At 50.9% G+C, this 24,126-nt stretch overlaps 2 protein-coding genes and 1 long non-coding RNA gene across 9 annotated transcripts in view, besides 6 other annotated features; all 3 read left to right on the forward strand.

The window, feature by feature from the left end:
- The window catches only part of STAG3L5P-PVRIG2P-PILRB (STAG3L5P-PVRIG2P-PILRB readthrough), a 31,767-nt gene extending 21,520 nt beyond the window's left edge, over positions 1-10,247 (forward strand). The window contains exons 14-17 of one of the 2 annotated variants that reach the window (NR_036570.1): positions 636-782; positions 1,315-1,495; positions 1,753-1,953; positions 9,765-10,247. This is a non-coding gene — a long non-coding RNA (STAG3L5P-PVRIG2P-PILRB readthrough). Of the gene's footprint in view, positions 1-635; positions 783-1,105; positions 1,496-1,752; positions 1,954-9,764 lie in introns of both variants that reach the window. The other variant, NR_036569.1, reaches the window with a different exon arrangement.
- Positions 533-10,247, forward strand: PILRB (paired immunoglobin like type 2 receptor beta). 2 transcript variants are annotated; one of them, NM_001371931.2, is made up of 5 exons: positions 533-782; positions 1,106-1,495; positions 1,753-1,953; positions 3,629-3,799; positions 9,765-10,247. In NM_001371931.2, exons 1-5 carry the CDS (start codon positions 719-721, stop codon positions 9,791-9,793), a joined length of 855 nt encoding a protein of 284 aa, NP_001358860.1. In that variant the 5' UTR covers positions 533-718; the 3' UTR covers positions 9,794-10,247. The 2 variants fall into 2 exon arrangements, with proteins under 2 accessions (NP_001358860.1, NP_839956.1); NM_178238.4 differs by lacking the exon at positions 3,629-3,799.
- Positions 7,971-8,130: an enhancer, noted in NCBI's record as "active region_26356". NCBI's record gives its function as "activates an Ori minimal core promoter by ATAC-STARR-seq in GM12878 lymphoblastoid cells {active_cell/tissue: GM12878}" and the evidence as "EXISTENCE:reporter gene assay evidence [ECO:0000049][PMID:35858748]".
- Positions 8,161-8,210: an enhancer, noted in NCBI's record as "active region_26357". NCBI's record gives its function as "activates an Ori minimal core promoter by ATAC-STARR-seq in GM12878 lymphoblastoid cells {active_cell/tissue: GM12878}" and the evidence as "EXISTENCE:reporter gene assay evidence [ECO:0000049][PMID:35858748]".
- Positions 8,231-8,280: an enhancer, noted in NCBI's record as "active region_26358". NCBI's record gives its function as "activates an Ori minimal core promoter by ATAC-STARR-seq in GM12878 lymphoblastoid cells {active_cell/tissue: GM12878}" and the evidence as "EXISTENCE:reporter gene assay evidence [ECO:0000049][PMID:35858748]".
- Positions 9,131-9,210: an enhancer, noted in NCBI's record as "active region_26359". NCBI's record gives its function as "activates an Ori minimal core promoter by ATAC-STARR-seq in GM12878 lymphoblastoid cells {active_cell/tissue: GM12878}" and the evidence as "EXISTENCE:reporter gene assay evidence [ECO:0000049][PMID:35858748]".
- Positions 12,820-13,571: an enhancer, noted in NCBI's record as "OCT4-H3K27ac-H3K4me1 hESC enhancer chr7:99968027-99968778 (GRCh37/hg19 assembly coordinates)". NCBI's record gives its function as "activates a minimal SCP1, AML or CMV promoter by ChIP-STARR-seq in naive H9 embryonic stem cells {active_cell/tissue: H9 hESC(naive)}" and the evidence as "EXISTENCE:reporter gene assay evidence [ECO:0000049][PMID:30033119]".
- PILRA (paired immunoglobin like type 2 receptor alpha) overlaps positions 13,707-24,126 on the forward strand; it is a 28,806-nt gene continuing 18,386 nt past the window's right edge. For 3 of the 5 annotated variants that reach the window (NM_013439.3, NM_178272.2, NM_178273.2), the window contains exons 1-2: positions 15,903-16,136; positions 16,460-16,849. In NM_013439.3, the coding sequence (NP_038467.2) occupies positions 16,073-16,136; positions 16,460-16,849 (454 nt within the window). In that variant the 5' untranslated portion in view covers positions 15,903-16,072. Of the gene's footprint in view, positions 13,729-15,675; positions 15,693-15,902; positions 16,137-16,459; positions 16,850-24,126 lie in introns of those variants that run through there. The other 2 variants (XM_047420292.1, XM_047420291.1) reach the window with 2 other exon arrangements.
- Positions 16,575-16,634: an enhancer, noted in NCBI's record as "active region_26360". NCBI's record gives its function as "activates an Ori minimal core promoter by ATAC-STARR-seq in GM12878 lymphoblastoid cells {active_cell/tissue: GM12878}" and the evidence as "EXISTENCE:reporter gene assay evidence [ECO:0000049][PMID:35858748]".

Here is a 24,126-nt window from a genome sequence, read left to right on the forward strand (position 1 = left end):
AGCCAGCCAAGGTGAGGCCCAGCCCCTCAGCAGGAAGATGGGCACTGGGGCCCTTGGGCAGGGCTGACTTGACACTTTTGTGTGACTTGAGCCACTGTGCCCAGCCTGAACACCCTTTCCTGGTAAAACACTCCACAAACCAGGAAGAGAAGGAATGTACTGCAACAAAATAAAGGCCAGTCATGCAAGGCCCATGGCTGAAAGTCTTTCAGTCATTTTAGATGAAAGACTGAAATCTTTGCCTCCAAGATCAGGAACAAGAGAAGGATGCCCGCTCTCACTACTTCTATTCAACACAGGATTTGAAGTCAGGCCGGGCACAGTGGCTCACGCCTGTAATCCCAGCACTTTTGGAGGCTGAGGCGGGCAGATTACTTGAGCCTATGAGTGTGAGACCACCCTGGCCAACATGGCAAAACCCCATCTCTACTAAAAAAAAAAAAAAAAAAAGGATTTGAAGTCCTGGCCGGAGCAATTAGGCAAGGGATAAAAAGGCACCTAAGGCCCTTTTGCAATAAGAAGCCAGATGGATAAAGGAAGTGCTGGTCACCCTGGAGGTGTACTGGTTTGGGGAAGGTCCCCGGCCCCCACAGCCCTCTGGGGAGCCTCACCCTGGCTCTCCCCACTCACCTCAGCCCTCAGGCAGCCCCTCCACAGGGCCCCTCTCCTGCCTGGACAGCTCTGCTGGTCTCCCCGTCCCCTGGAGAAGAACAAGGCCATGGGTCGGCCCCTGCTGCTGCCCCTGCTGCTCCTGCTGCAGCCGCCAGCATTTCTGCAGCCTGGTGAGTACCCAGGACCGCCCAGGTATGGTCTCTGCCCAAACCACAGGAGGGGCCAACCCAAGACAAAGGCAGAACATCTGGGGCAGGGGCCAGGCTCCCACCTCCAGCAAACAAGGGCGGGTCCCATAGGGGTGGGTGCCGCCATCTCTTCCCCCTCCACCCTCCCCCATGCCTGAAGAGTGGGAGACCCAGGCCAGAGGTCAGTCCAGCCACCTGTCACACGACTGCCTGTGGGTGAAGGTGTGGGAGGGTCTGGGGTCACCCTCTTTGTGTCCTGAGGTGGTTTCAAGGTCTCTCCCCCACTCACTCCCTCCTTCCTCTAGGTGGCTCCACAGGATCTGGTCCAAGCTACCTTTATGGGGTCACTCAACCAAAACACCTCTCAGCCTCCATGGGTGGCTCTGTGGAAATCCCCTTCTCCTTCTATTACCCCTGGGAGTTAGCCATAGTTCCCAACGTGAGAATATCCTGGAGACGGGGCCACTTCCACGGGCAGTCCTTCTACAGCACAAGGCCGCCTTCCATTCACAAGGATTATGTGAACCGGCTCTTTCTGAACTGGACAGAGGGTCAGGAGAGCGGCTTCCTCAGGATCTCAAACCTGCGGAAGGAGGACCAGTCTGTGTATTTCTGCCGAGTCGAGCTGGACACCCGGAGATCAGGGAGGCAGCAGTTGCAGTCCATCAAGGGGACCAAACTCACCATCACCCAGGGTGAGTCCAGCTGCCCTGACACCTGCCTTGCCCACCGCAGTGAGGGTTTTGGTGACCACTGATGTCTTCACATTTAAACCCAGTGGTCTGGATTGAGAGCTGTTAGCATTTCACCTTGCTACCCCTTCCATGTCTGGGCTTCTGAGAGCAGCTTGCTCATCCTGAATGTCCCCAATCTAGAAAGCAGCACACCATGCCTTTCATCCAGACGCCCCACACCCCCAGAAGAGGGTCTGCTCATTCCTCATCTCTTCCAGCTGTCACAACCACCACCACCTGGAGGCCCAGCAGCACAACCACCATAGCCGGCCTCAGGGTCACAGAAAGCAAAGGGCACTCAGAATCATGGCACCTAAGTCTGGACACTGCCATCAGGGTTGCATTGGCTGTCGCTGTGCTCAAAACTGTCATTTTGGGACTGCTGTGCCTCCTCCTCCTGTGGTGGAGGAGAAGGAAAGGTAAGTGCCCAGAACGCACTGTCTCCTCAAGCTTCCCAGCTGGGGGTTTCTCTGAGCCCACCTGCAGCTAAGGGACTTCAGAAATATGCAGACCCTGCTGGCTCCCCTCAAGCCCACCAAGGCCGACTCTGGCCTGTGCTGGGGCGTCTGCATCTCGGGGGCCTCCTGCAGTGGGGTGGTGCAGGGTCACATGTGAGAACCCCCAGCCTGGGCGCGGTGGCTCATGCCTGTAATCCCAGCACTTTGGGAGCCCAAGGCAGGTGGATCACAAGGCCAAGAGATCAAGACCATCCTGGCCAACATGGTGACACCCCATGTCTACTAAAAATACAAAAATTAGCTGGGCATGGTGGCACACGCTTATAGTCCCAGCTACTCAGGAGGCTGAGGCAGGAGAATCGCTTGAACCCGGGAGGCAGAGGTTGCAGTGAGTCAAGGTCGTGCCACTGCACTCCAGCCTGGTGACAGAACAAGACTCTGTCTCAAACAAACAAACAAACAAACAAAAAAAGCCCCCAGCCCTCTCCACACAGCTGGATCCCCCCAACTTCTCTCTCAGTCATCAATCATCCACGCTCCCCTGAAGGTTCCTGGGGAGGGGAGGGCCTGCCCTGGGAAAAGAACAGAGAGAGGAGAAGGGACCAGAATTGGGCTGAGCTCAGCAGGCACTGGCTGACTGCCCTCCTGCCACGGCCTGGCTTGAAACTGGAGAAGCAAAGTATATAAAGCATAGGCTCTGCTCTCAGGGAACTGGGGGTGTGGAGTTGTCAGTTGCCTCAAGGACTAATTGCTTCATTGAGAAAGAACTATGGTATTGCTAAACAAGGGTGGGAGGAGAGAGAGGTAATCAGGGAGGACTTCCCACAGGAGGTGGCATCTGCAGATGTCTCAAAAAAGAAAAGAATTAGCCTGGCAAGAGGTGAGGATTGTGTAGAGGTCACTCACTTTCCTTGTGGGTGGAGGAAACCATTCCAGGAGCTGTAGGAAGCTTGGTGCTGGTGAAGGAGGCAGGAGAGGAGAGAAGAGGAGATGACCTTAGAAATCACATCCAAGAGCCTCTGATCCCAGAGGCAGCGTGAGGCAGCAAAGGGTGACCTCAGTTCCCCATGAGAGACCTCAGTCTATGGAGGAATGGCCAGAGGTGGGCCAGGCTGGGTCAGTGCAGTGCAGGAGTGAGGTGGAGAGAGGGAAAGGGCCAGATCCTAGAAAAGATTAAGTAATAAAAACCAATGAGATTGTTAGATTGATGTAGGGGCAAGGGAGCAGGAAGAAGCACCCGTTTCCACTTGGGTGCATGGGGCTATGATGAAACCACCAACTACAGTAGACAATAGAGGAGGAGACTATGTTTGGAGGGGAGCGATGCCTCGTTTAGTTCGGAATTTGTTTTTTTGTTTTGTTTTGTTTTTTGTTTTTGAGACAGAGTTTTGTTCTGTCGCCCAGGCTGGAGTGCAGTGGCACAATCTCGGCTCACTGCAAGCTCCCCCTCCTGGGTTCAAGCCATTCTCCTGCCTCAGCCTCCTGAGTAGCTGGGACTACAGGCGCCCGCCACCACACCTGGCTAATTTTTTGTAGTTTTAGTAGAGACGGGGTTTCACTCTGTTAGCCAGGATGGTCTCGATCTCCTGACCTCGTGATCCGCCTGCCTCGGCCTTCCAAAGTGCTGGGATTACAGGCTTGAGCCACCGCACCCGGCCAGTTTGGAATCTGTTATACGGGAGATCCATGTGTGGCATCTCAGCAGAGTTGTCCATTGGAAACTTGGATGTACACATTTCCAGTTCAAAAGAGAGGACAAGGCTCCAGGCAGCAATGAGTTCTACCTCAATATCCTCCAAACCTGACAGTAAGTTACCATCAAGAAAGTCTTCAGGCCAGGCACGGTGGCTAATGCCTATAATCCCAGCACCTTGGGAGGCCAAGGCGGCTGGATCACCTGAGGTCAGGCGTTCAAGACCAGCCTGGCCAAAATGGTGAAACCCCATCTCAATTAAAAACACAAAAAATTAGCCAGGCATGGTGGCCGACACCTGTAGTCCAAGCTACTCAGGAAGCTGAGGCAGGAGAATTGCTTGAACCCAGGAGGTGGAGGCTGCAGTGAGCCGAGATGGTGACACTGCACTCCAGCCTGGCTGATAGAGCGAGACTCCATCTATAAAAAGTAAAAAAGAAAGTCTTCAGTGAAAGGAGATTCGCCCTATCAGCTATGAAAGCACAGAGGGGAGGAACATGGAGTAGGGGCTGCCTGCAGTCAGATCCTGCCCTCACAACCTTGCCAGGGAAACAGGCTCGTGGGTACAAAGGTTGTGTGCCTCAACTTCCTCATGGAAGCACGTGAGATTATTTTATAACCATAGAGTGGAGACAGTCAGTATGACCACCAAACCCAGGAGCCATATATTAAAATACTGATAAATTTAACTATATAAAAAAATTTTTGCCGGGTGCGGTGGCTCACACCTGTGATTCTAGCAGAAAATCAGATCAGGAGATCACAGAAGGTCAAGGAACTACTGAGAGAGCAGGAATGGAGAGCAGGGGGGTCAGCAGGAAGCTTGGAGAATCTGCAAAATAGTAGATTACAAAGGATCAAAAGTCAGTGAGGTTCAACAAGAGGTAGGGTGGGATAATGACCAAAGACAGAGGGAACACTTCCAGGTTCATTCTGTGAGGTCAGCAACACCATGACCTAAAAGCCAGATAAAGACCCTGCAAGAAAAACAATACACAAAATACAGATGAAAAGGCTGGTGAATATTGATGGGAAAATCTTCAACAAAATTCTAGCAAACCAACTTTCACAGCATGTTAAAAGGACTGTACGCCATGACCAAGTTGGAGATAGCCCTGGAATGCATGTATCACCCAAAACAGGAAAATTAATGTAGTGCACCCCATTAGCAGAATGAAGGACAAAACCCACATGATCATCTCAACTGATACAGAAAAAACATTGGACAAGATTGAACACCTTTCCTTTTTTTTTTTTGAGATGGAGCCTCGCTCTGTTGCCCAGCCTGGAGTGCAGTGGTGCCATCTTGGCTCACTGCAACTTCTGCCTCCCGGGTTCAAGCGATTCTTCCACCTCATCCTTTCGAGGAGCTAGGATTACAGGTGTGCACCACTATGCCCGGCTAATTTTTGTATTTTTGGAAGAAACGTGGTTTTACTATATTGGCCAGGCTGGTCTCGAACTCCCGACCTCAAGTGATCCGCCCACCTTGGCCTCCCAAAGTGCTGGCATTGCAGGCTGAGCCACGGTGCCCAGCCTGAACACCCTTTCCTGGTAAAACACTCCAAAACCAGGAAAAGAAGGAATGTACAGCAACAAAATAAAGGCCAGTCATGCAAGGCCCATGGCTGAAAGTCTTTCAGTCATTTTAGGTGAAAGACTGAAATCTTTGCCTCCAAGATCAGGAATAAGAGAAGGATGCCCGATCTCACTACTTCTATTCAACACAGGATTTGAAGTCAGGCTGGTCACAGTGGCTCACACCTGTAATCCCAGCACTTTTGGAAGTCGAGGCAGGTGGATTACATGAGGCTATGAGTTTGAGACCACCCTGGCCAACATGGCAAAACCCCATCTCTACTTAAAAAAAAAAAAAAAAAAAAAAGATTTGAAGTCCTAGCCAGAGCAATTAGGCAATTAGGCAAGGGATAAAAAGGCATCTAATTTGAAAAGGAACAAGCAAAATGATCTCTGTTTGCAGGTGACAAGATCTCATATGTAGAAAATCCTAAGTATTGCACAAAATTACCTGTTGAATGAATGAATTCAGCAAAGTTCCAGGAAACCAATTTAACATGCAAGCAAAAATGTATTACATTTCTGTGCACTAAACATAAACAATCTGAAAAGAAAATTAAGAAAACAATTCCATTTACAATAATGTCAAAAAATAAAGTAAGATCTTTAGGAATAAACCTAACCAGGGAGGTGAAAGACTTGTACACTGAAACTACAAAACATTGCTGAACAAATGAAAGAAGACACAAATAGGTGGATGACATTCTTGTTCGTGGAGTGGAAAGATTAATATTGTCAAGGTGTCCATGCCACCAACAACAATCTCCAGATCCAATGCAAATCCTATGAAAACCCCAATGGCATTGTTTTTGCTCAAACAAAAAATTCATCCTGAAATTCAAATGGAATCTGAAAGCACTACCACAAACCAAAATAATCTTTAGAAACGTGAACAGAGAGGACACGCATTCCCTGATTTCAAAATGTATTAAAAACTATGGTAATCAAAACGATGTGGTACTGAAATAAAGACATAAATAGGCCAGGTGCAGTGGCTCAGCCTGTAATCCCAGCACTTTGGGAGGCTGAGCTGGGTGGATCACCTGAGATTAGGAGTTCGAGACCAGCCTGACCAACATGGAGAAACCCCATCTCTACTAAAAATACAAAATTAGCCAGGCGTGGTGGCGCATGTCTGTAATCCCAGCTAATCGGGAGGCTGAGGCAGGAGAATCACTTGAACCCGGGAGGCAGAGGTTGCAGTCAGCCAAGATCACGCCATTGCATTCCAGCCTGGGCAACAAGAGTGAAACTCCATCTCAAAAAAAAAAAAAAAGACATAAATAGAGCAGTGGAATAGAATACAGAGCCCACAAATAAACCCTCACATAGATAGTCAAATGATCCTCAACAAGGGTGCCAAGATGACCACTCGACGAAGAATAGTTTCTTCAACAAATGGTGTTGAGAAAGCTGGGTACTCACATGCAAAACATAAAGGTGCATCTCTGCCAAAAAATTAACTCAAAATGGATTAAAGACTTCAATGTAAGACCCAAAACTGTCCAGTGTCTAGAAGAAAATACAGGAGAAAACATAGGGTGATGAGACAAGATGGTGGGTCCTTGCACCATCATCCCCAGACCCATGGTTTTTATTCCACAGGGGAAGGATGGTTTGTATTCTACAGGTGAAGTATGATCACATCAAGGTTGTTTGACTCCAGGGCAGGATTTATGATACGTACCTGCTCTTACACAAGAACGATAGATCAACTGGAAATCTTAGAGGCCTTCCCAGAACTGGGGTTAATCAGAAGCTGCCATGGCAGATTAGCTTCCAAGATGGAGTTGCCTTAGCCTCCACAATATTAAAAGTAGAACTACCATATGATCCAACAATCTCACTTCTGGGCATCTATCCAACCAATTGAAAGCAGGGTCAGGAAGAGGTGTTTGCACACCGATGTTTGTAGTAGCATTACTCAAAATACCCCAAACGTAGAATCAACTGAAATGTCCATCAAACAAAATACGGTGTCTGTAGTCCAAGCTACTCGGGAAGCTGAGGTTAGGAGAATGACCTGAGCCCAGGAGGTTGAGGGTGTAGTGAACTATGATTGTGCCACTGCACTCCATCCTGGGTGACAGTATAAGATCCTGTCTATTAAAAAAAAAAAGTTCTGAAAAAAATAATATTATTGAATCTTTTTTATTTAGTTATTTATTTTGAGACAAAGTCCTGCTTTGTCACCCAGGCTGGAGTGCAGCAGTGCAATCTCAGTTCACTGCAACCTCCGCCTCCTGGGTTCAAGGGATTCTCTTGGCTCAGCCTCCCGAGTAGCTGGGATCACAGGTGTGTGCCACCACACCCAGCTACTTCTTGCATTTTTAGTAGAGACGGGGTTTCACCATGTTGGCCAGGCTGGTCTCGAACTCCTGACCTCAGGGGATCCACCCACCTCGGCCTTCCAAAGTGCTAGGATTATAGGCGTGAGCCACTATGCTTGGCCTCAACCTTTAAAGGGAAGGAAATTCTTACACATGCTGTAGTATAAATGAGCCTTGAGGACATTATGCTAAGTGAAATAAGCTAGTCACAAAAAGATAAATACTGTCTGATTCCACTTACATGGTATCTAGAGTAGCCAGATTCCTAGAAACAGGAAGCAGAAAGGTGGTTGTCAGGGGCACAGAGGAGATGAGAATGGAGAGTTAATATTTAAAGAACATAGAATTTCAGTTTTACTGGCCCAGTGTGGTGGCTCACGCCTGTGAGGAACATGCCTTGGAAGGCTGAGGTAGGTGGATCACTTGAGGCCTGGAGTTCGAGCCCAGCCTGGCCAACATGGCGAAACCCTGTCTCTACTAAAAATACAAAAAATAAGCTGGTGTGGCGGGGGCACCTGTAATCCCATCTGCTCGGGAACCTAAGGCAGGAGAATCACTGGAACCCAGGAGATGGAGGTTGCAGTGAGCTGAGATCACGTCACTGTATAGCAGCCTGGGTGACACAGCAAGACTCTGTCTCAAAAAAAGAACTTTTGGGTTTCAGTTTCGCAAGATGAAAATGTTCTGGAGATCTGTCTCACAACCATGTGAATACACTTAACACTGCCAAACTGTACACTAAGCAATGGTTAGGATGGTAAATTCTAGGTGGTTTTTTTTTTTTTTTTTTTTTTTAGACAGAGTCTCGCTTTGTCACCCAGGCTGGAGTGCAGTGGTGCGATCTTGGCTCACTACAACCTCCACCTCCCAGGGTCAAGCAATTCTTCTGCATCAGCCTCCTGAGTAGCTGGGAGTACAGGCACATGCCACCACGCCCGGCTAATTTTTGTAATTTTAGTAGAGACAGGTTTTCACCATATTGTTCAGGCTGATCTCGAACTCCTGACCTCAGGTGATCTGCCCACCTTGGCCTCCCAATCCTGGGATTATCACCGCGTGAGCCACCGCACCCACCTTAGGTGTTAGGCTGGAAGGAGTGAAAGTTGCAATATGAAAATGATACTAGCAGTTAATATTTCAGAGTTCCCAGTCCCAACATTAAAAAACAAAAAACCTGTAGAAGTGGAAGGGGAGGTCCCTGGAGTTGAGGGGTGCCGTGAGGCCTGGGTTCAGAGGGTGTCTCTGTGGACGTGGAGCCCTCCCAGGAGGGGGCTGGATGGTGGAGGGGATGTCTGTGGACCAGGAGCCCAGTGCTTGGGAAACACTGCAAGGATGCCAGGGGGACAAGAGGGGCAGGGCACAGTGGGAGAGGCAGCAGAGGATTCAGGGTGAGACCAGCCAGAGGGGAGGGGAGGCCTAGAGGTGGCAACAGAACTTGAACAGCCACAAACATGAGTCCCAAGCATGAGGCTCCCAAGGCTGGAGGGCAGACACAGCCGCCACCCAGAAGGAAACCACAGGCGCGGTCTCCCTGAGGACCTGGAGGGAGAGGTGGGGGTGCCTATGTCAAGGGAAGGGGAGGGAAGGAAGAGATGGGTGGGCGAGGGCTCAGCGATAGAGGGAGCCAGGTTGGGGCTGAGCAGAGAGCTCAAGAGCGAAGGAAGCCAACAGAGGGTAGCAAGGTTTTGCGGGGGCGGTTTCAGGAGATGACGTGGTGGACAACAGGGAGAACAGGTCGGGGGGGAGCCTCAGGGTGCCAGCTGAGTCCCAGGCCCTTCCTGATGGGTTTGGGCAGAGCTGATCTGCTGCTCTGGTCCCTCTAAGGAGGGCCTCAGCCTAGGGCGCAGCAGAGAAGGTGGGATGGAGACTGCTATCACCTGGATGCCACCCTGACTCACTGTTGGTCCCCCTACACGTCAGCAGCGGACTAAAGCCACAACCCCAGCCAGCTGAGTGCTGGGCCTCCCCAAGGGAGTGGGGAGTACAGGTGCGGGCAGGGGACGGGTTTGGAAATCAGGGACTGTGCTGCTAAGAACCCCACAAGCCCAGCCTGCCACAAATTCTCCTGAGTTTTTGCCACCTCCCACTTAAATCTGATCTCTGAAGCAACTGCCTCGCCTGCCTCACTAATAATCCTGGCCCTGCATCTAAAAACACTTCCCCTCCTGCAGGTAGCAGGGCGCCAAGCAGTGACTTCTGACCAACAGAGTGTGGGGAGAAGGGATGTGTATTAGCCCCGGAGGACGTGATGTGAGACCCGCTTGTGAGTCCTCCACACTCGTTCCCCATTGGCAAGATACATGGAGAGCACCCTGAGGACCTTTAAAAGGCAAAGCCGCAAGGCAGAAGGAGGCTGGGTCCCTGAATCACCGACTGGAGGAGAGTTACCTACAAGAGCCTTCATCCAGGAGCATCCACACTGCAATGATATAGGAATGAGGTCTGAACTCCACTGAATTAAACCACTGGCATTTGGGGGCTGTTTATTATAGCAGTGCAAAGAGTTCCTTTATCCTCCCCAAGGATGGAAAAATACAATTTATTTTGCTTACCATACACCCCTTTTCTCCTCGTCCACATTTTCCAATCTGTATGGTGGCTGTCTTCTATGGCAGAAGGTTTTGGGGAATAAATAGCGTGAAATGCTGCTGACACTTCCCTGTGCATCTCCCACATGGCTGCCAAGTGCCCCTTCCTGCTCTGCAGTACCTGAGTCCAGTCATGATGCAGGGAGCCTCCCCACTAGAAACAGATGGCACTCACAGATTTAAAGCAGTTGGAAGCAAGTTTAAGAAGGGAAATCTTTTTTTTTTTTTTTTTTTTTTTTTGAGACAGAGCCTCACTCTCATCACCCAGGCTGGAGTGCAGTGGCGCAATCTCTGCTCACTGCAACCTCTGCCTCCTGGGTTCAAGCCATTCTCATGCCTCAGCCTCCCAAGTAGTTGGGATTACAGGCGTGCACCCCCACACTCAGCTAATGTTTGTATTTTTTAGTGGTACTGGAGTTTCACCAAGTTGTCCAGGCTGGTCTCAAACTCCTGGGCTCAAGCAATCCTCCAGCCTCAGTCTCCCAAATAGCTGCAATTACAGGCGTGAGCCACCATGCCTGGCTGAGAGGGAATCGTTAAGAAGGAGTGGGCAGGGGCAAGAACACTGTCAGAGACAGTGTGTTGGCCACGGCTACTACAGCAAATTGGCTGCTTCCTGTGATCGCACGGGTTGAGGGCTCAGTTCCACAAGGCTGCCCCAGCATCAGATGCCAGTCGCAAGCTCACGTGGTGCCTGTGCTTCTGACACAGGGCTATAAAAATTGAGGTTCCCATGATCCCCTCCTTGGGTTCAATTAATTTTCTAGAATGGTACCTAGAACTCAGGGAAGCCCTTTACTTACATGTGTCCCCTTATAAAGGATATTATAGGGCCTGGCGCCATGGCTCATGCCTGTAATCTCTGTGCTTCAGGAGGTTGAGGGGGGAGGTTCACTTGAGCACAGGAGTTTGAGACCAACCTGGGCAACATAGCGAGACCCCGTCTCAAAATAAAGATATAGGATATTACAAAGGATAGTTATGAACAGCCAGATATAAGAGATACACAGAGGGAGGCCTGGGGGAAGGGGTGCAAAGCTTCCGTGTCTTCTCTAGGCACTGCACCCTCTAGGAAGCTCCATGAGTTCAGTTATCCAGAAGCCCTCTGCATCCCTTTTGGGTTTTTATGGGCTTCATTATAAAGGCATGATTGGGCCAGGCACAGTGGCTCATGACTGTAATCCCAGCACATTTTGAGGCTGAGGTGGGAGAATCAATTGAGCCCTCAGGTGGCAACTGAGGCTGCAGTGAGTTGTGATTGCACCACTGTACTCCAGCCTGGGTGACAGAGAGAGAGCCTGTCTCAAAAAAAAAAGACAAAACAAAAAACCTGGCCAATACGGTGAAACCCCATCTCTACTGAAAATGATCGTCACCTGATCCCCACCCCTTGAAGATGCCTCCACCCTCTCCATACGCATTTGGTCAGCACTAACTGCCCTGGGTGACAGGCACACTGCACTGGGTGACAAGGACCCAAAGCTACACCAGCCAGTGCCCCAGCCCTCAAGCACCTCCCTGTGCAGAAGGAAGACAACACAGAAAAGGGAAGCATGGTTGTCACAGAGGCCCAGAGGACTGCTGGCTGATGTCACTGAATGGGGAAGTGGTTGGCCGCACAGGCCCCAAGCTCAGACCTGATGCCACAGTGGACGTTCCTGGGCCATGTGACCTCAGGCTAGGCTCAGAACCACCCTCAGGGCCTCCGTTTCTTTCTGTATAAATTGAGGACCATACAGAGATGCTGCCTACCTCCTGGGATTGTCCAGAGAGTTAAAAGCTCTTTTAAAATGCGCCTGCTGGGCCAGGCACAGTGTCTCACACCTGTAATCCCAGCACTTTGGGAGGCTGAGGCAGGCAGATCACAAGGTCAGGAGGTCGAGACCAGCCTGAACAACATAGCAAAGCTCCATCTCTACTAAAAATACAAAAAGTAGCCGGGCGGGCATGGTGGCACGTGCCTGTAATCCCAGCTACTCAGGAGGCTGAGGCAGGAGAATCACTTGAACTCAGGAAGTGGAAGTTGCAGTGAGCCGAGATTGTACCATTGCACTCCAGCCTGGGTGACAGAGCGAGACTCCGTCTCAAAAAATAAAAATAAATCAAATGCACCTGCTGGCAGGGCGCGGTGGTTCATGCCTGTAATCTCAGCAACTTTGGGAGGCCTAGGCAGGTGGATCACCTGAGGTAAGGAGTTCAAGACCAGCCTGGCCAACATGGTGAAACCCCATCTCTGCTAAAACTACAAAAATTAGGTGAGCATAGTGGTGGGCACCTGTAGTCCCAGTTACTCGGGAGGCTGAGGCAGGAGAATCGCTTGAACCTGGGAGGCAGAGGTTGCAGTGAGCCGAGATGGTGCCACTGCACTGCAGCCTGGGCGACAGAGTGAGACTCCGTCTCAAAATAATAATAATAATAAAACAAAATGCACCTGCCATTTCTTTCCATCAGGTATGGCCATGGAAATGAGGGTCATAAGGGAAGCAGTGTATCCTCACAGATCCCCAGAAACGAGAGACACAGCCATGCAGGGCCACTTGGGAAAGCACCAGGGTCCCTCAGGGAGTAGAGGAAGCCAAGGGAACACAGGGGTGAGACCCTTTGTTATGCTTTCCCTGGAAAAGGCAAGGAAGGGTATGCAGGTTTAGGATTGGCTAGTTAGAATAACGTTAGCAGGCTCTGGGGATTAGAGGCTGTCATTTGTTATTTGGTGTCTGGCCCAGGATGATGAAGGCAGAGAAATACTGCCTTCTGAAGGGTGAGAGGCAGCTAGAAGAGCTGGTTCAGTGTTGGGGCCCTGGATTAGCTGGTTTGCATATGAAAGGCACACTCAGCCAGGAGCCGTGGCTCAAGCCTGTAATCCCAGCACTTTGGGAGGCCGAGGTGGGCAGATCACAAGGTCAGGAGATGGAGACCATCTTGGCCAACGTGGTGAAACCCCGTCTCTATTAAAAATACAAAAATTAGTTGGGCATGGTGGCACGCACTTGTAATCCCAGCAACTTGGGAGGCTGAGGCAGGAGAATCGCTTGAACCCAGGGGTGGAGGTTGCAGTGAGCCGAGACCGTGCCACTGCACTCCAGCCTGGCAGCAGAGTGAGACTGTTTCAGAAAAAAAAAGGGACACTCTCAGAGGGGTCATTTGCTAGCTCTAACAACTGGCTGGCTCTGGCAGGGGCAGTCCCTCTCTCTGCTCTTGGAGGTCCAAGATGCCAGAATATCAGCAATCCAGTGGGGCTTGGTGAGGTGGCTCACACCTGTCATCCCAGCACTGAGGGAGGCCGAGGCAGGAGGATTGCTTAAGCCCAGGAACTTGAGACCAGCCTAGACAACATAGTGAGACCCCATCTCTCAAAAAAAAAAAAAAATTAGCCGTGTGTGGTGGTGTGTGCCTGTGGTCTTCACTACTTGGGAGGCTGAGGTCAGCAAATTGCTTCAGCCCAGGAGTGATGGTGATCGCGTCCCTACACTCCAGTCTGTGGACACTCTAGTACCTTGAGGACAGTACAGCCTGATTACAGAAGCTTTACAGCAAGTCTTGAAGTCAGGTATTATAAATCTTCCACCTTCATTCTTCATTTGTAAAGGCCTTTTGGCTATTCTAGGTCCTTTGAATTACTGTGAGAATATTACAGTTGGCTTGTGAACTCCACAAAGCCTATGGGATGTCGATTGGGATCAGAGGAAAGCAGGAACGGTGGGTGCCAAGGAGAGGTGAGGGGCTGGGGGCAGGGACGGATGTGGCCAGTGAGGACAGTAGGATACTTGTTGGGGGAATGTGGGGACATCCAAGCAGTGGTTCTCATAATGCGGTGCAGGGTACTTACCCCCTCCCTGCCCCTGCTCCCCACACACGACTTCCCACGCCTCTCCCATGAGCACCTGCACTAAGGGGCTGCATTTAGGCTCTGCCCACATTGGAATCATGCCCTCCTCCAGGCCCTCCTCCTCCTCTCAGAAGCCCTGTCTGTGAGAGAGCCACAGCCCCAGGCTCAGTCCCAGGTTCTGTCACTGCTGTTGGGGGAGGGAGGATGAACAAATCCAGGAGACCTCACACCATCCCAGAGCAGAAATCCTGACACAGAAGGAATCTCCCATGGGGGTTCAGCTGGATCCAGGGCCTGAAAGTGACATAAACATGCATGTTGCATCTAAGGAGACTGCACGTGGCAGCATTGGGCAGCATGTGCCCTCCAGAGCTACCCAGAGGCTGTTGGCTATAAGTTCTATGTGGCCCCCACATTGGACAGCCTGGTAAGCAGGTGACCTTTCAGCCAGGTCCTCAGGTGGGGCGGGCCACCCTCTCGAGGCCCTGCCCAGACAGCCAGGGGGTCCCTTGTCCTCTCTGCAGCCCATCTTTCCAGCTGTGACCAGTTCAGCCCAAAGCCCCCGTCCCTCAGTTTCCCTGTGGGTTGAATGGAGATAATGTGTCACCTCAGAATGTTGTGAAGCAGAGAATGAGGTGTTTAGGGCCTGGCTCAGACGGAGGGGTTTCCTGAGCATGGGGAACCTGTTTCCTCAGGCCTGTAAAGGGAGGGAGGGCGGGCCGGCCTGGCTGGCCCTGGGAAGCACAGAGGAGCCTACTAGGACCAGGGAAGAGACTAAGAGAAGGGAGGCCCGTCCCTGCCTGCTTCTGTCTCAAGAAGGCTGATGTCACTTCCTCTGATGAAATCCTGTCTTCCCCCACGGCCCCTCAACTGATGCCACCTCACCCTGGAGAGGGTGGGCAGAGCCTCCTACGGAGGGAGCCCTGTGCACCACCAAAGCTCCCTGCTCCAGTGACCACCCCCGGGCAAAGGCCGGCAGATCCCCGTTAGAGATGGGCCCAGGACTGTGTGTGGGGTGGGTGTTGCTCTGAGCCTTCACTTTCTTCTGTGTCCAAGGAAGCTTCTGGATCAGCCAAGGGCTCAGGTGTGTGGAGGGAATGACCTGAGGGGCTGTATGAAGGGACAGCCTCCTGTCCTGCACTCAGAAGTTGAGGCCCAGAGATTCCACCCTTCAGCCAGGCCCAGACATCTGGGTTGAGGGGGCTCCAGTCCTGTACCCACTACTGCAAGTCACGTGGCCTGGGGCAGGGCTTCTCAGAGCCCTGTCCCCTCCTGTGTAGGGCGGGACGTCAGAGGGGAGCCTGCAGACCCAGTCTCATGTCTTGGGGGTCAAGGGGTGGCTTCCAGAAGGACCAGTCTCTGTGTAGGGGACCATTAGCCCCCTCACCCCTTGAGCAAGGTCGTGGTGCCTGCACCGAGAGAGGGCCTGGGGCAGGAAGAGGCCAGCTGGGTCGTGGTGGTGCCTGGGGACTGCATGGGAGCCCCTGCCAGGGAGGGAGAGGGACAGAGGACAAGCTGGGGGCTCTTCTGCTTGGGCTGGGGGCTGAGCACCTGTGACCTCCACCGGCTTCCTTCTCCTCCTCTCTGAGGACTGAATCTGGGGCGCAGAAGGACAGAGATTCAGGCCTGCCTTTCCTCTCCCTGAAAGAGCCTGCGCTGGCCCTGGGCAGAGAGAAGGATGAGAAGTGAGGCTGAGTGAGGTGGGGTCTGCAGGGATCCAGGTGGGAGGGGCCCAGCCAGCCAAGGTCAGGCCCAGCCCCCCAAGGTCAGGCCCAGCCCCTCGGCAGGAGGACGGGGACCGCGGCCTTTGGGCAGGGCTGACTTGGCACTGACCACAAGGGAGGCCCTTTTGCAATAGGGGAAAATAAGCCAGATGGATAAAGGAAGTGCTGGTCACCCTGGAGGTGCACTGGTTTGGGGAAGGCTCCTGGCCCCCACAGCCCTCTTCGGAGCCTGAGCCCGGCTCTCCTCACTCACCTCAACCCCCAGGCGGCCCCTCCACAGGGCCCCTCTCCTGCCTGGACGGCTCTGCTGGTCTCCCCGTCCCCTGGAGAAGAACAAGGCCATGGGTCGGCCCCTGCTGCTGCCCCTACTGCCCTTGCTGCTGCCGCCAGCATTTCTGCAGCCTAGTGAGTACCCAGGACCACCCAGATGTGGGCTCTGCCCAAACCACAGGAGGGGCCAACCCGAGACAAAGGTGGGACATCTTGGGGAGGGCCCAGGCTCCCACCACCAGGAAACAAGGGCGGGTCCCACAGGGGCGGGTGACCCCATCCTCTCCCCCTCCTCCCTCCCCCATGCCTGAAGAGTGGGAGACCCAGGCCAGAGGTCAGTCCAGCCACCTGTCACACGACTGCCTGTGGGTGAAGGTGCGGGAGGGTCTGGGGTCACCCTCTTTGTGTCTTGAGGTGGTTTCAAGGTCTCTCCCCTACTCACTCCCTCCCTCCTCTAGGTGGCTCCACAGGATCTGGTCCAAGCTACCTTTATGGGGTCACTCAACCAAAACACCTCTCAGCCTCCATGGGTGGCTCTGTGGAAATCCCCTTCTCCTTCTATTACCCCTGGGAGTTAGCCACAGCTCCCGACGTGAGAATATCCTGGAGACGGGGCCACTTCCACAGGCAGTCCTTCTACAGCACAAGGCCGCCTTCCATTCACAAGGATTATGTGAACCGGCTCTTTCTGAACTGGACAGAGGGTCAGAAGAGCGGCTTCCTCAGGATCTCCAACCTGCAGAAGCAGGACCAGTCTGTGTATTTCTGCCGAGTTGAGCTGGACACACGGAGCTCAGGGAGGCAGCAGTGGCAGTCCATCGAGGGGACCAAACTCTCCATCACCCAGGGTGAGTCCAGCTGCCCTGGCACCCGCTTTGCCCACCGCAGTGAGGCTTTTATGATCACTGGTGACATCGTCCCCAGCACCTCAGACCCCACTTCTTCTGACGACCCCTAAGTTCTCTCTTTGGCCCCTAACACTTCCTCAGGCCTTTGCCACCTCTCCCCTTTTCTCTTCCCCTTGTCTCCACAACTGATCTGCTTTCCCCAACCATCCCCCTCACTGTCCCCTCCAGATCCAGCCCCGCCCCCACTCCTCAGGCCTCAGCAGCTGCTGGACCCTCTAATTATCCTTCATTCTTTCTCCAAAATGAGGCTCCAGCCTGGCCTCTCCCCATAACCTCCAGGCCGATTCGATCTCTCCAGGATGTGGCTCACCCGCTCTTTGTCATGTGTCTCTGTGTGGAGTCCCCGTTAGTGCCTCAGGGTGGGCCCCATACCTTGCATCTCTCACAGTCAGGAGCTCATTCAGGAACCCCCAGCAGGTGCCCAGTGGCTGGCCCTGGGAGCCCTGCAGTCCCTGGGTCAAGCCCTATCACCTGGGTTCCCATCTGCCCACTTCCTTCTCCCCCTCTGCTTCCCAGAAGTGTCCTTCAGCTCCTCCCTGACCTGTCTCGCCTCTTCTCTCGTGTATCATATCCCTCTCTTCCTGCATCCATCCTTTACCCTCCTCACTTCTCCCTGGCCCCTGCAGCCCCCACTTTCCCTGACAAGCCCCTGGGTTCTTCCAGCCGTGCTCTCCCTGTCCTCCACTCTGGTCTTGCTACTCTGTCCTTCCCAACACTAAGGGATGTGTCTGCAGAAGCAAGAGCAGCAGCCCCCATTCATTGAGGCACCATGGCATGGCCCTGGCAAATCGCTTCGTGTGCATTGCCCTAGTGAACCCTCACCAAGACTCCACAATAACAAGAGGAACTGCTATTCTCTTCAGTTTACAGACAGGGAAATTGAGGCTAACAGAGCCTATATATCTGTGCCCAACATCACACTAGTGGTGCAGATGGGATTTGGTAGGGATGGTGAGGGATGGGCATGGTGGCTGACGCCTGTAATCACAACACTTTGGGAGGCCAAGGTGGGTGGATCACTTGAGGTCAGGAGTTCGAGACCAGCCTGGCCAACATGGTGAAACCCCGTCTCTACTAAACATACAAAAATTAGCCAGGTGTGGTGGCGCATGCCTGTAATCCTAGCTACTCGGGAGGCTGAGGCAGGAGAATCACTTGAACCGGGGAGGTGGAGGTTGAGGTGAGCTGAGATCGAGCAACTGCACTCCAGCCTGGGTGACAAAGTGAGACTCCGCCTCAAACAAACAAACAAACAAACAAACAAACACAATGAAAGGGATGGTGAGCTGCAGAGCTTTCTCACCTAACCTCTAGCTACAGGGCTTCGCCTATTGAGTTGACCATAGTGTTCGCCTTGACCTACTTTTGAACCTAGTGATGGGATGTGTTGCACTAATAGATCTTCTGTTTTATTCAGAAAGGGCGTCGGGGAAATTTGAGCCTGGGTTTATCTGTCTCCAGATCAGTGGGGTGAGGGGAGTTTCTCCCAGGCCCAGGCAGGAAGGGGGTGCATTGTCTGTAGAAAATGTTTTAGGAAACTAATCTTTGGCCAGGTGGGTTTGTTTTTTCTAATCACTTGCACTGGCAATCCTAAACAATGCCAGGGATAAATTACTCTTCCCTGCAGGGACCTGCAGGGACGGACACTCTCGCTGCCTGCGCCCTGGTAAACCACTGCACCATCTTAACCACTGTGTTGGTTTTGGAGCAGATGGAAAGTGGCTCCATAATCTAAATGAAGCAAGACAGCCTTGAACTTTGATTTCCTACATATTTCCTTAAATGGCCTTTTTTGAGAGATTTGGGTTTTTCTCAGGCCTTCTCTTCCTCTTTCCTTAATTCCTGCTTGCTTTTCTCACCTCTCTGCATAGGTCAGATTTGTTGTTTTTTTCACTAATAAATTGTATTTTCAATTAATTCAATTAGTTGAATATTCATGCTTATTATAAAAAACAAAATTCAGGAAAGTAATAAAAAGAGAAAAAAGTGTTTTTTTTTTTTTTTTTTGAGACAAAATCTCTCTCTGTCACCCAGGCTGGAGTGCAATGGCATGATCTTGGCTCACTCCAGCCTCCACCTCCCAGGTTCAAGCGATTCTCCCGCTCAGCCTCCAAGTAGCTAGAATTACAGGCACCCACCATCATGCCAGGCTAACACAGGGTTTCACCATGTTAGCCAGGCTGCTCTCGAACTCCTGACCTCAGATGATCTGCCCAGCTTGGCCTCCCAAAGTGCTGGGATTACAGGTGTGAGCCACCTTGCTCTGCCTTTTTTTTTTTTTTTTTTTTTTTTTGAGACAAGAGTCTCGCTCTGTCACCCAGGCTGGAGTGTGATCATGGCTTACTGCAGTGTCGACCTCCCAGGCTCAAGTGATTCTCTTGCCTCAGCCTCCCAAATAGCTGGGACTACAAGCACGCACCACCACACCTGGCTAATATTTGTATTTTTTTTGTAGTCATGGGATTTTGCTATGTTGCCCAGGCTGGTCTCAAACTCCTGAGCTCAAGTGATCCACCTACCTTGGCCTCCCAAAGTGCTAGGATACAGGCATGAGCCACTGTGTCTGGCAAAAAAATTTTTTAATCCAGCTGAAGTACCATCATGCTAAGATGCAACAAACTAAAGGAATATTTGTAGCAGATATAACTAAGTTTGTTGTTGGCTTATTAATGTTTTTTACATAATTTTACTTTTGTAACCAAACCTAATTGTGTTCTTCTTTGTCACTTTTCTATTTCTTTTTTTTTTTTTTTTTTTTTTTTTTTGAGATGGAGTCTTGCTGTGTCTTCCAGGCTGGAGTGCAGTGGCATGATCTCGGCTCGCTGCAAACTCCGCCTCCCAGGTTCATGCCGTTCTCCTGCCTCAGCCTCCCGAGTAGCTGGGACTACAGGTGCCCGCCACCGTGCCCGACTAATTTTTTTGTATTTTTAGTAGAGACGGGGTTTCACCGTGTTAGCCAGGATGGTCTCGATCTCCTGACGTCGTGATCTGCCCGCCTCGGCCTCCCAAAGTGCTGGGATTACAGGCTTCAGCCAACACGCCTGGCCTTTTCTGTTTTATTTCTAAGCACAAAAATCCCTATTTCCACTATAGGTTGAAAATATTGGCCAGACACAGTGGCTCATGCCTGCAGTCCTGGCTACTCAGGAAGCTGAGACAGAATTGCTTGAACCCGGGAGTCAGAGGAGGTTTCAGTGAGCCAAGATCGCATCACTGCACTCCAGCCTGAGTGACAGAGCAAGGCTTCTTAATTTAAAAAAAAATTTGTATGTAGTGATAATTTATTTTGGTATATGGCATAAACAACTAAATTGATCTTTATATGAAATAATATAATCAGTTGTCCCAACCCCATTTATTGCATTTTTATCTGCTTCTCTATTGATACATTAGGCCTGGTTTTAAAATTATTTTTGTAGAAAAGCATCTGTTTCTGGTCAGTCGATTCTGTTTCACTGATCTGTCTTTTCTTACATCAGCACACAGGTTTAGTGATTGTAACTTTATCACATTTCAATGCCTAAGACTATTTTCATCTCAAACGTATTACTCCTTCCTCAAAAACTTTTTTAGGCTTGGTGCAGTGGCTTCATGCCTGTAATCCCAGCACTTTGGGAGGCTGAGGCACGAAGATGACTTGAGCCCAAGAGTTTGAGACTTAACATGGGCAACATAGTGAGACCCCCATCTCTAAAAAAAAAAAAAAAAATTAGCCAGTTGTGGTAGTGCACACCTATGGTCCCAGCTACTCAGGAGGCTGAGACAGGAGGATCGCTTGAGGCCAGGAGGTTGGGGCTGCAATGAGCTGTGATTTCGCAACTGCACTCCAGCCTGAGTGGCAGAGCAAGACCCTGTCTTAAAAAACAAAGCAAAACAAAAAATATTTTTCTGTTGTTGCCTGCCTGTTCCTTCCCCAATGTTAGAATAAGTTTATCCAGTTTAGGAAAAACAAAAACAAAAACAAAAAACACAACACTCTTTTAAGTCAGTTGCATTAAACCTATTATGCAATTGACAGAAACTGAAATCAGGCTAATACACAATCTTCCCATCCAGGAACAAGGTCCTATTTTATATCCCTCAGTAAATCTTGGTAGTATTCTGCCAAACATCATATAAATGTCTCATAAGATTGTTTAACTGTCTGTAGTGAGCTGAGATCATGCAACTGCACTCCAGCCTGGGTGACAGAGCCAGATCCTGTCTCAGGAAAAAAAAGAAAAAAGATTTTTTTACCCTCCATATTTCCTCGTTATTAATATGCAAGATTACTTTATGAATCCTTAATAATTGTCATTGTAAAAGTAATGCATAGGCAGCCAGGCGTGGTGGCTCACACCTGTAAACCCAGCACTTTGGGAGGTCAAGGCGGGTGGATCACGAGGTCAGGAGATCGAGACCATCCTGGCTAACATGGTGAAACCCCGTCTCTGCTCAAAGTACAAAAAAATTAGCTGGTTGTGGTGGCGAGCACCTGTAGTCCCAGCTACTCCGGAGGCTGCGGCAGGAGAATGGTGTCAACCCAGGAGGCGGAGCTTGCAGTGAGCAGAGATCGTGCCACTGCACTCCAGCCTGGGCAACAGAGCGAGACTCTGTCTCAAAAAAAAAAAAAAAAAAAGTAATGCATAGGCCAGGTGCAGTGGTTTCTGCCTGTAATCCCAGCACTTTTGGAGGCTCAGGTGGGCTGATCACCTGAGGCCAGGAGTTCGTGACCAGTTTGGCCAACATGGTGAAACCTTGTCTGTGCATGGTGGTGTGTACCTGTAATCCCAGCCACTCGGGAGGCTGAGGCAGGAGAATCCCTTGAACCCAGGAGGTGGCAGTTGCAGTGAGCCAGATCATGCCATTGCACTGCAGCCTGGGTGACAAAGCAAGACTCTGTCTCAAAAAAAGGCCAGGTTTGGTGCCTCACCTCTGTAATCCCAGCACTTTGGGAGGCCGAGGAGGGTAGATCTTGAGGTCAGGAGTTCGAGACCAGCCTGGTCAATATGGTGAAACCCTGTCTCTACTAAAAATACAAAAAAATTAGTTGGGCGTGGTAGCACGCGCCTGTAGTCCCAGCTACTCAGGAGGCTGAGGCAGAAGAATCGCTTGAACCTGGGAGACGGAAGTTGCAGTGAACCGAGATTGCACCACTGCACTCCAGCCTGAGCAACAGACGGAGACTCTGTCTCCAAAAAAAAAAAAAAAAAAAAAAATTAATGCATAAATCTGGCCAAGATGGTGGGTTATATGCATGTTTACCACCACCCTCTCCCAGAGTCTACTAAAATGATAGCAAAGGGAATTTTTTAAGAAAGAAATCCTCAAGAACAAGAAATATATGAACTGGATGTACAAAAGCAAAATTTGACAAGCTGGAAACAGACTAATGGAATTGGTTTAGGAGCCCAGATGAGCTAAACCCTAAGCCAGTGTTGGGAAACCCAGATGAATGGCAATTTATACCACAAAACTCTGTAAAGTTTCAGTAATGCTGGCCCCGAGTACCCCTGAAAGTAGGAGTGAAGATGGGTCTGAAAACTAGAGGACATTGAAAATCTACGTCAGAAGCAGGGAAACCTCCATTCCCCATTCCCCTACCCTAGCCCAAAGACGAGAGGTTTGCTTTCCAGAATAGATGAACCAGAGGGCCTCTGGGGGAGCACCCCAGGGATAACTGGCAAGGCGACTGGGGTCTGGTCCTCATACCGAATCCCCCAGCACCGGGGACTATATCTTGGCCTCATCTGTGTTTGGGAAGCCTAAGGCTAGAGTCCCTATATGATTAAATGAAACAAACTTCTCCCATGAAACGCAAAGAACAAAACAAACAGGAAAAACAGAAAGAGGAACCTGGAAGAAACCAAAACAGTTCAGGGAGAATAAAACTTTAAAATACTCAGCATTTCCTTCTACTCAGAAAGCTAAGAGACCTCGTGCATGTGATGAGAGGGTGCTTTACAAAGGAACTTGCCAACCACAAAGAAAGCTCTGGGAAATTTAAGATACAATAGCAAAAATAAAAAATTCCATTAAAGGGCTGGGCGTGGTGGCTCATGCCTGTAATTCCTGCACTTAGGGAGTCCAAGACAGGAGGATTATTTGAGGCCAGGAGTTCAAGACCAGCCTGGGCAACATAGCAAGAATCTGGCAACATAGCAAGACTCTGTCTCTATAAAAAAATACAATTTAAAAATTGGCTGGGTGTGGCCTGTCGTGATAGTTCACGTCTGTAATCCCAGCAGTTTGGTAGGCCGAGGCGGGCGGATCACTTGAAGTCAGAAGTCGAGACCAGCCTGGCCAACACAGCGAAACCCTCCCTGTCTCTACTAAAAATACAAAAAAATTAGCCAGGTGTGCTGGTGTGTACCTGTAATCCCAGCTACTTGGGAGGCTGAGGCATAAGAATCACTTGAACCCGGGAGGAGGAGGTGGCAGTGAGCTGAGATCACACCACTGCACTCCAGCCTGAGTGACAGAGTGAGACTCCATCTCCAAAAAAAACAAAAACAAAAACACGGTGGCTCACGCCTGTAATCCCAGCACTTTGGGAGGCTGAGGCGGGTGGATCACGAGGTCAGGAGATTGAGACCATCCTGGCTAACAGGGTGAAGCCCCATCCCTACTAAAAATACAAAAAATTAGCCGGGTGTGGTGGCGGGCACCTGTAGTCCCAGCTACTCGGGAGGCTGAGGCAGGAGAATGGCGCGAACCCGGGAGGCAGAGCTTGCAGTGAGCCGAGATCGCGCCACTGCACTCCAGCCTGGGCGACAGAGCGAGACTACCGTCTCACAAAAAACAAACAAACAAACAAAAAACAACTAGCTGGGTATAGTGGCACATGCCTGTAGTTCCAGCTACTCAGGAGGATGAGGCAGGAGGATCACTTGGGGCTGGGAGGTCAAGGCTGCAGTAGCTGTGGTCCCACCACTGCACTCCAGCCTGGGTGACAGAGTGAGATCCTGACTCAAAAAAAAAAAAAAAAAAAAAATTAAAAAAACCCACCACCACCACCAAAACAACCAAAAATGCACCCAAGGATGAAATTTACTTTTGAGTGTGGGAATAAATATGTAAATGTGAGAGGTGACAGCGTGCTGTCAGCCCTCGCTCGCTCTAGGCGCCTCCTCGGCCTCTGTGCCCACTCTGGCCGCACTTGAAGAGCCCTTCATCCCGCCGCTGCACAGTGGGAGCCCCTTCCTGGGATGGCCGAGGCCAGAGCCGGCTCCCTCAGC

The sequence above is a fragment of the Homo sapiens genome, chromosome 7, assembly GCF_000001405.40.
Source record: "Homo sapiens chromosome 7, GRCh38.p14 Primary Assembly".
Lineage (NCBI taxonomy): Eukaryota > Metazoa > Chordata > Mammalia > Primates > Hominidae > Homo > Homo sapiens.

Excerpts from the sequence above, each read along its gene's own strand:
- PILRB (NM_001371931.2), top strand. The coding sequence starts at position 719 with ATGGGTCGGCCCCTGCTGCTGCCCCTGCTGCTCCTGCTGCAGCCGCCA. Across the intron at positions 783-1,105 it reads GCCAGCATTTCTGCAGCCTG|GTGGCTCCACAGGATCTGGT; the intron begins GTGAGTACCCAG and ends TCCTTCCTCTAG. Across the intron at positions 3,800-9,764 it reads AATATCCTCCAAACCTGACA|GTAGCAGGGCGCCAAGCAGT; the intron begins GTAAGTTACCAT and ends CCCCTCCTGCAG.